General features: G+C 52.3%; 1 annotated feature.

The window, feature by feature from the left end:
- Positions 3,403-3,603: a silencer, noted in NCBI's record as "peak204 fragment used in MPRA reporter construct". NCBI's record gives its function as "represses an SCP1 promoter by STARR-seq MPRAs in K562 erythroleukemia cells {active_cell/tissue: K562}" and the evidence as "EXISTENCE:reporter gene assay evidence [ECO:0000049][PMID:32103011]".

The following is a 9,966-nucleotide window of genomic DNA, read 5'->3' on the forward strand; positions in this document are numbered from 1 at the left end:
TATTAAATTTAAAAAATTATTGGGCAGGAGCGGTGGCTCATGCCTGTAATCCCAGCACTTTGGGAGGCCGAGGTGGGCAGATCACAAGGTCAGGAGATCAAGACCTTCCTGGCTAACACAGTGAAACCCTGTCTCCACTAAAAATACAAAAAAAATTAGCTGGGCATGGTGGCGGACACCTGTAGTCCCAGCTACTCAGGAGGCTGAGGCAGGAGAATGGCATGAACCTGGGAGGCGGAACTTGCAGTGAGCCGAGATCGCACCACTGCACTCCAGCCTGGGAGACAGAGCAAGACTCCACCTCAAAAAAAAAAAAAAAAAATTATTAATAACAAAACATGGTGGTGCACACCTGTGGTCCCAACTATTCAGGAGGCTGAGGTGGGAGGATCACTTGAGTCCAGGAGTTGGAGGCTGCAGTAAGCCATGATCAAGCCACTGTACTCCACCCTGGGCAACAGAGCAAGACCCTGTCTCAATTTTTTTTTTTTTTTTTTTGAGACGGAGTTTTGCTCTTGTTGCCCAGGCTGGAGTGCAGTGGTGCAATCTCGGCTCACTACAACCTCAACCTCCCAGGTTCCAGTGATTATCCTGCTTCAGCCTCCCGAGTAGCTGGGATTACAGGCATGCGCCGCCATGCCCAGCTGATTTTTTTGTATTTAGTAGAGACGGGGTTTCATCATGTTGGCCAGGCTGGTCTCGAATTCCTGACCTCAGGTGATCCACCTGCCTTGGCCTCCCAAAGTGCTGGGATTACAGGCATGAGCCATCACACCCAGCCTCAAATTTTTAAAAAAACAAAAATAAAATAAAATTCTTATAATTTCCTTTGTTATTTCTTCTTTGTCTTGTGGGTTAATTAGAAGTCTTTTTTTCTTTTTTTTGAGTCAGGGTCTTGCTCCGTAGCCCAGAATGGTGTGCAGTGACATGATCACAGCTCACTGCAGCCTCAACCTCCTGGGCTCAAGTGATCCTCCCACTTCAGCCTCCTGAGTAGCTAGGACTACAGGCATGTGCCACCACTCCTAGCTAATTTTTTATTATTTGCAGAGACAGGGTCTCACCATGTTGCCCAGGCTGATCTCGAACTCCCAGACTCAAGAAATCCTCCTGCCTTGGCCTCCCAAAGTGCTGGGATTACAGACATGAGCCACTGCACCCAGCCTAGAAGTATATTGTTTAACTACCAAATATTTGAGACTTTTCTAGAAAGCCTATTCTTACTGATTTCTCATGTAATTCAGAGAACATATTCTGTAAGATTTTTAAAAATTTATTGAGACGTGTTTTATAGCCCAGAATGTGGCCCATCTGGGGAATGTTGCATACCCTCTTGAAAAGAACATCAATTCTTCGGTTGTTGGGTATTCTGTAAGTATCACTTTGATCAAATGTTTGATAGTATTGTTCAAGTCTTCTATGTATTTGCTGAATTTTTGTCTACTTGTTCTGTCAACAGATGAAACAAACAGAAAACAAGTAGCAAATGGAGCCTTAAATTTAAACATATCAATAATTACACTAAATGTAAGTGGACTAAACGCTACAGTTAAAAAACAGAGACTGTCAGACTGAAAAAAGAGCTAGATTCATGTGCTGTCTACAAGAGGGATTTTATTTTTAGTTTTAGTTTTTTGAGGCAGTGTCTCACTCTGTCACCCAGCCTGGAGTGCGATGGTGCAATGATGGCTTACTGCAACTTCGACCTCCTGGGCTCAAGTGATCCTCCTACATCAGACCCCCAAGTGGCTGGGACTACAGGTGCACACCATCACCTGGCTGATTTTTGTATTTTTTTATAGAGTTGAGGTTTCACCGTGTTGCCCCGACTGGTCTTGAAATCCTGGGCTAAAGCAATCCACCTGCCTTGGCCTTGCAAAGTGTTGGGATTACAGGGATAAGCCACCCTGCCTGGTCAAGAGATTAATTTTAAATACAAAAATACAAATAAATTGAAGGTAGATGGTTGGGGAAATATATCATGTAAACACTAATCAAAGAAATGTGGGAAATTAGTATCCAGGAAAATAAACTTCAAGACAAGGAGTATTACCAGAGAAAAAGAGGGACATTTTAAAATGATAAAAGGACCAATACATGAAAAATACTTAAAAATTTAAACTTTATGGGCTGGGTACAGTGGGACATGCCTGTAATCCCAGCACTTTGAGAGGCTGAGGCAGGTGAATCACCTGAGATCAGGAGTTCAAGACCAGCCTGACCAACATGGTGATACCCCATCTCTACTAAAAATACAAAATTAGGCCTGGCACAGAGGCTCACACCTGTAATCCCAGCACTTTGGGAGGCCAAGGTGGGCGGATCCCCTCAGGTCAGGAGTTCGAGACTAGCCTGGCCAACATGGTGAAGCCCTGTCTCTACTAAAAATACAAAAATTAGCTGGATATGGTGGTGGGCACCTGTAATCCCAGCTACTTGGGAGGCTGAGGCAGGAGAATTGTTTGAACCCAGGAGGCGGAGGTTGCAGTGAGCTGAGATCATGCCATTGCACTCTAGCCTGGGTGACAGGGCGAGACTCCATCTCAAAAAAAAAAAATTAGCTGGGTGTGGTGGTGCATCCCTGTAACCCCAGCTACTCAGGAGGCTGGGCTGAGGCAGAAGAATTGCTTGAATCGGGGAGGCGGAGGTTGCAGTGAGCTGAGATTGCACCATTGCACTGCAGCCTGGTTAACAAGAGCGAAACTCCGTCTCAAAAAAAAAAAAAAAAATTAGCCAGGCATGGTGGCACACACCTGTAATCCCAGCTACTCGGGAGGCTAAGGCAGGAGAATCGCTTGAACCAGGGAGGCAGAGGTTGCAGTGAGTGGAGTTGCACCACTGTACTCCAGCCTGGGTGACAGAGCAAGACTGTCTCAAAAAAAAAAAAAAAAAAAAAAAGTAATACACCCAGAGACTGGAGTTGGAGTTTTATTATTATTCAAATCAGTCTCCCTAAGCATTCGAGGATCAGAGTTTTTAAAGATAATTTGGTAGGTAGGGACTTGGGAAGTGGGGAGTGCTGATTGGTCAGGTTGGAGATGGAATTATAGGGGGTCAAAATGAGGTTTTCTTGCTGTGTTTTGCTTCTGGGTGGGATGGCAGAACTGGGTGAGCCAGATTACTGGTCTGGGTAGTGTCAGCTGATCCATCCAGTGCAGGGCCTGCAAAATATGTCAGGCACTGATCTTAGGTTTTACAATAGTGATGTTATCCCTAGGAACAATTTGAGGAGGTTCAGACTCTTGGAACCAGAAGTTGCACAATCCCTAAACCATAATTTCTAATCTGGTAGCTAATTTGTTAGTCCTGTGTATTACTCCATTTTCACACTACTTATAAAGACATACCCACGAATGGGAAATTTACAAAAGTAAGAGGTTTAATGGACTTACAGTTCCACATGGCTGGGGAGGCCTCACAATCATGGTGGAAGGCAAGGAGGAGTGAGTCATGTTTTACATGGATGGCAGCAGGCAAAGAGAGAGAGCTTGTGCAGGGAAATTCCCCCAGATAAAACCATCAGATCCCATGAGACTTATTCACTATCATGAGATCAGTATGGGAAAGATGCTGCTCTCATGATTCAGTTACCTCCCACTGGGTCCCTCCCATAACATGTGGGAATTCAAGATGAGATTTGGGTGGGAACATAGCCAAACCATATTACCCCTCAAAGGCAGACTTATCCCCAGGCATGAAGGGGGTCTTTTTGAGAAAGGGCTATTATCAATTTTGTTTCAGAGTCAAACCATGAACTGAATTCCTTCCCAAAGTTGGTTTGGCCAATGCCCAGGAATGAACAAGGACAGATTAAAGGTTAGAAGTGAGATGGAGTTGGTTAGGTCTGATATCTCTCACTGTCATAACTCCGTCAGTTATAATTTTTGCAAAGGCGGTTTCACTCTGGCCTAGTCCTTTGAGTTATTGCTCTCAGATGTACTACACCTACATATGTTATAAACACCAGAATATAGTTATAGTGTTTGTTTTAACATGTCATATGTCTTTTAAAAATAATTATTTTTTTAAGCCAGACTTTTATATTAACCAACAGATGTTTCCTATATCTGCTGTAACAAATTGACACAAATTAGTGGTGGAAAACAACACAAATGTATTTGAGTTTTGGAGGTCAGAGGTCTAAAATACGTCTTATTAGGGTAAAATCAAGATGCTGGCAGGGTTGTGTTCTTTTTTGGAGGCTCTAATGGATAATCCATTTCCTTTAATTTTCCAGGTGACACTGACTCCTCTGCCTCCCTCTTCCATTGATGAGGACCCTTGTGATTACAGTGGGCCCATCCAGATAACCCAGGATAATCTCCCCATCAAAAAGTCAGACAATTGGCTGGGTGTGGTGGCTCATGCCTGTAATCCCAGCACTTTAGGAAGCCAAGGCAGGTGGATCACCTGAGGTCAGGAGTTCGAGACCAGCCTGGCCAACATGATGAAACCCTGTCTCTACTAAAAATACAAAAATTAGCTGGGCATGGTGGCATGTGCCTGTAAGTCCAGCTACTAGCGGGGCTAAGGCAGGAGGATCGCTTGAACCTGGGAGGCAGAGGTTGCAGTGAGCCGAGATTGTACCACTGCACTCCAGCCTGGGCAACAGAGTGAGATTCCATCTCAAAAAAATAAAATAAAATAAAATAAAATGAAAGTCAGACAATTAGGGAGCCTGTCTGGCCATGGTGGCCGCGGCTGGTGGTTGGCGCGGCTGCGCTGCGGCCCGGGGCAGTGCGGAGCCAGGACAGTCGCGGCGCTGACGCCCGCGGGCCCCAGCTGCAGATATGAAGCGGAGCCGCTGCCGCGACCGACCGCAGCCGCCGCCGCCCGACCGCCGGGAGGATGGAGTTCAGCGGGCAGCGGAGCTGTCTCAGTCTTTGCCGCCGCGCCGGCGAGCGCCGCCCGGGAGGCAGCGGCTGGAGGAGCGGACGGGCCCCGCGGGGCCCGAGGGCAAGGAGCAGCCGCCTGCCTTGGCCTCCCAAAGTGCCGAGATTGCAGCCTCTGCCCGGCTGCCACCCCGTCTGGGAAGTGAGGAGTGTCTCTGCCTGGCCGCCCATCGTCTGGGATGTGAGGAGCCCCTCTGCCTGGCTGCCCAGTCTGGAAAGTGAGGAGCGTCTCCGCCCGGCCGCCATCCCATCTAGGAAGGGAGGAGCGCCTCTTCCCAGCCGCCATCACATCTAGGAAGTGAGGAGCGTCTCTGCCCGGCCGCCCATCGTCTGAGATGTGGGGAGCGCCTCTGCCCCGCCGCCCCATCTGGGATGTGAGGAGCGCCTCTGCCCGGCCGAGACCCCGTCTGGGAGGTGAGGAGCGTCTCTGCCCGGCCGCCCCGTCTGAGAAGTGAGGAGACCCTCTGCCTGGCAACCACCCCGTCTGAGAAGTGAGGAGCCCCTCCGCCCGGCAGCTGCCCCGTCTGAGAAGTGAGGAGCCTCTCCGCCCGGCAGCCGCCCCATCTGGGAAGTGAGGAGCGTCTCCGCCCGGCAGCCACCCCGTCCGGGAGGGAGGTGGGGGGGGGTCAGCCCCCGCCCGGCCAGCCGCCCCATCCGGGAGGGAGGTGGGGGTCAGCCCCCCCGCCCGGCCAGCCGTGCCATCCGGGAGGGAGGTGGGGGGGTCAGCCCCCCGCCTGGCCAGCCGTGCCATCCGGGAGGGAGGTGGGGGGGTCAGCCCCCCGCCCGGCCAGCCGCCCCGTCCGGGAGGTGAGGGGCGCCTCTGCCCGGCCGCCCCTACTGGGAAGTGAGGAGCCCCTCAGCCCGGCCAGCCACCCCGTCCGGGAGGGAGATGGGGGGGTCAGCCCCCCCACCCGGCCAGCCGCCCCGTCCGGTAGGGAGGTGGGGGGGTCAGCCCCCCGCCTGGCCAGCCGCCCCGTCCGGGAGGGAGGTGGGGGGGTCAGCCCTCCGCCCGGCCAGCCGCCCCGTCTGGGAGGTGAGGGGCGCCTCTGCCCAGCCGCCCCTACTGGGAAGTGAGGAGCCCCTCTGCCCGGCCAGCCGCCCCGTCCGGGAGGGAGGTGGGGGGGTCAGCCCCCCGCCCGGCCAGCCGCCCCGTCCGGGAGGGAGGTGGGGAGGTCAGCCCTCCGCCCGGCCAGCCGCCCCGTCTGGGAGGTGAGGGGCGCCTCTGCCCGGCCGCCCCTACTGGGAAGTGAGGAGCCCCTCTGCCCGGCCAGCCGCCCCGTCCGGGAGGGAGGTGGGGGGGTCGGCCCCCCTGCCCGGCCAGCCGCCCCGTCCGGGAGGTGAGGGGCGCCTCTGCCCGGCCGCCCCTACTGGGAAGTGAGGAGCCCCTCTGCCCGGCCAGCCGCCCCGTCCGGGAGGGAGGTGGGGGGGTCAGCCCCCCGCCCGGCCAGCCGCCCCGTCCGGGAGGGAGGTTGGGGGGGGTCAGCCCCCCCGCCCAGCCAGCCGCCCTGTCCGGGAGGTGAGGGGCGCCTCTGCCCGGCCGCCCCTACTGGGAAGTGAGGAGCCCCTCTGCCCGGCCAGCCGCCCCGTCCGGGAGGGAGGTGGGGGGGTCGGCCCCCCGCCCGGCCAGCCGCCCCGTCCGGGAGGGAGGTGGGGGGGTCGGCCCCCCGCCCGGCCAGCCGCCCTGTCCGGGAGGGAGGTGGGGGGGGTCGGCCCCCCTGCCCGGCCAGCCGCCCCGTCCGGGAGTTGAGGGGCGCCTCTGCCCGGCCGCCCCTACTGGGAAGTGAGGAGCCCCTCTGCCCGGCCAGCCGCCCCGTCCGGGAGGGAGGTGGGGGGGTCAGCCCCCCGCCCGGCCAGCCGCCCCGTCCAGGAGGGAGGTGGGGGGGGTCAGCCCCCCTGCCCGGCCAGCCGCCCCGTCCGGGAGGTGAGGGGCGCCTCTGCCTGGCCGCCCCTACTGGGAAGTGAGGAGCCCCTCTGCCCGGCCACCACCCCGTCTGGGAGGTGTGCCCAACAGCTCATTGAGAACGGGCCAGGATGACAATGGCGGCTTTGTGGAATAGAAAGGCGGGAAAGGTGGGGAAAAGATTGAGAAATCGGATGGTTGCCGTGTCTGTGTAGAAAGAAGTAGACATGGGAGACTTTTCATTTTGTTCTGCACTAAGAAAAATTCCTCTGCCTTGGGATCCTGTTGATCTGTGACCTTACCCCCAACCCTGTGCTCTCTGAAACATGTGCTGTGTCCACTCAGGGTTAAATGGATTAAGGGCGGTGCAAGATGTGCTTTGTTAAACAGATGCTTGAAGGCAGCATGCTCGTTAAGAGTCATCACCAATCCCTAATCTCAAGTAATCAGGGACACAAACACTGCGGAAGGCCGCAGGGTCCTCTGCCTAGGAAAACCAGAGACCTTTGTTCACTTGTTTATCTGCTGACCTTCCCTCCACTATTGTCCCATGACCCTGCCAAATCCCCCTCTGTGAGAAACACCCAAGAATTATCAATAAAAAAAAAAAAAAAAAAAAAAAGAAAGTCAGACAATTAACAACCTAATTCCATCTGCAGTCTTAATTCTTCTTTGCTAGGTAACCTATCATCTTCCAGATTCTGGAGATTGAGGCATGACTTTTTTTTTTTTTGAGACAGGATCTCTCTCTGTTGCCCAGGCTGGAGTGCAGTGGTGTGATCTTGGCTCACTGCAGGCTCAACCTCCGGGGCTCAAGAGATCCTCCTACTGTACCTCCCAAGCAGCTGGGACTACAGGAACAGCCCACACCACCACACTTGGATAACTTTTGTTCATTTTTTGTAGAGATGAGGTCTCACTATGTTGCCCAGGGTGGTCTTGAATTCCTGGACTCATGCAATTCTCCTGCCTGGCCTCCTAAAGTGCTGGGATTACAGGTGTGAGCCACCCAGCCTATGAATGTCTTTTAGATGCTGTTATTCTGTCTACCACATTCACATATTTACCATTTTTGGTGATCCTCATTCCTTCCTATAGATTGTTGGGTGTCATTTATTTTTATTTTTATGTATTTATTTATTTTTTTAGATGGAGTCTCACTCTGTCACCCATGCTGGAGTGCAATGGGGTGGTCTCTGCTCACTGCAATCTCCACCTCCTGGGTTCAAGTGATTCTACCACCTCAGCCTCCCAAGTAGCTGGGACTACAGGTGCGCGCCACCATGCCCGGCTAATTTTTGTATTTTTAGTAGAGACGGGGTTTCACTATGTTGGCCAGGCTGGTCTTGAACTCCTGACCTTGTGATCCACCCGCCTTGGCCTCTCAAAGTGCTGGGATTACGGGTGTGATCCACCACGCCCGGCCTATTTTTATTTTTTGGCACAGGGTCTCACTCTGTCACCTAGGCTGGAGTACAGTGGTACAATCACAGCTCACTGCAGCTTCAACCTCCTGGGCTCATTGATCCTCCTTACCTCAGCCTCCTGAATAGCTGGGACTACAGGCACACACCACCACGCCCAGCTAATTTTTTTTTTTTTTTAAGACAGGATCTTGCTCTGTCACCCAGGTTGGAGTACAAGAGCATGATCTCAGCTCACTGCAACCTCCACTTCCTGGGGTCAAGCAATCCTCCCACCTCAGCCTCCCTAGTAGGTGGGACTACAGGCACACCCACCATGCCTGGCTATTTTTTGTATTTTTTGTAGAGACGGGGTTTCACCATGTTACCCAGGCTGCTCCTGGGTTCAAGCGATCTGCCCACCTCTGCCTCCCAAAGTGCTGGAATCATAGGGATGAGCCACCAAGCCTAGTCTGTTATTTTCTTTAGTGTGAAGAATTTTCCTTAGTATTTCAAGTTTGGTGGGGATGAATCTACTGTTTTTGTTGATTTTAAATTGTATTTTGTTGTCATTTTTTTTTTTTTTAATTAAAGGCTGGGCACAGTGGCTGACCCCTATAATCCCAGCACTTTGGGAGGCTAAGGTGGGAGGATTGCTTAAGCCCAGGAGTTTGAGACCACCCTGGGTAACATACTGAGACCTTGTCTCTACAAACAATCAAAAAATTAACTGGGCATGGTGGTGCATGCTCGTGGTCCCAGCTACTTGGGAAGCTGAGGTGGGAGGCTTGCTTGAGCCCAGGAGGTCAAGGCTACAGTGAGCTGTGATGGCACCACTGCACTCCAGCCTGGATGACAGAGCAAGATCCTGTTTGAAAAAAAAAAAAAAAAAAAGACCTACTGTAATGCCACATCATCTCAATGTAACCCATCATCTCAATATATAGAATGTTTTCATCCCAGGTTGGGCATGGTGGCTAATTCCTATAATCCCAGCACTTCGGGAGGCTGAGGCAGAAAGATTAGCTCAGGAGTTTGAAACCATCCTGGGCAACATAGTGAGACCCCCAACTCTACAAATAATTCACAAAATTAGTCGGGAATGGTGGCACATGCCTATGGTTCCAGCTACTTGAGAGGCTGAGGTGGGAGACTGAGCCTGGGAGGTCAAGGCTGCAGTGAGCTGTGATAGTGCCACTGAACTCCAGGCTGGACAACACAGTGAGACTCTGTCTCAAAAATTTTTTCTTATGCCCTTTGCAGAATTTTTCTCTGAAGAACAGCTTTTGTTCTGGCAGGCAGCTAATTTGGCTAGATTTTTAATTCCAAATCAATCATCTCCAGCAGAGGGCAGAAGCCAAAATCTTCACCCAGTTCTACCTTCTAGCTGCTGCTTTTTTTTTTTTTTCTTTTTTTGCTGGGTTTCTTGTTACCCCTACACATGTATACGTAAGCAGTCAACCAAGGAATTGGGAGGACTTGTCTTACCCAAATGTTGGGGCTCACCCCCTCTGCAATACTCTCCTTTTTAGGATTTCTCCTGTAACTTTTTGGTTGCTCTGCCTGCCTCAAACTCTGTTCCCTGACCTGCCTCAAACTCTGTTTCCTGACACCTCAAGGTAGTAAAGCTGTGTCTTCCCACCAGAGTTCCCACACAGGTAGTAACTCTGTGTCACCCAAGAGTTCCTTGCAGATTGGGGAATGCCCTAAGTAAGAGGCCACAGCTTTTCTAATCTCACCAGTTGCAGTTGTTCTTTAAGGGTAGGTAGAC

This window comes from Homo sapiens, chromosome 1, assembly GCF_000001405.40.
Source record: "Homo sapiens chromosome 1, GRCh38.p14 Primary Assembly".
NCBI classification, from domain to species: Eukaryota; Metazoa; Chordata; class Mammalia; order Primates; family Hominidae; genus Homo; species Homo sapiens.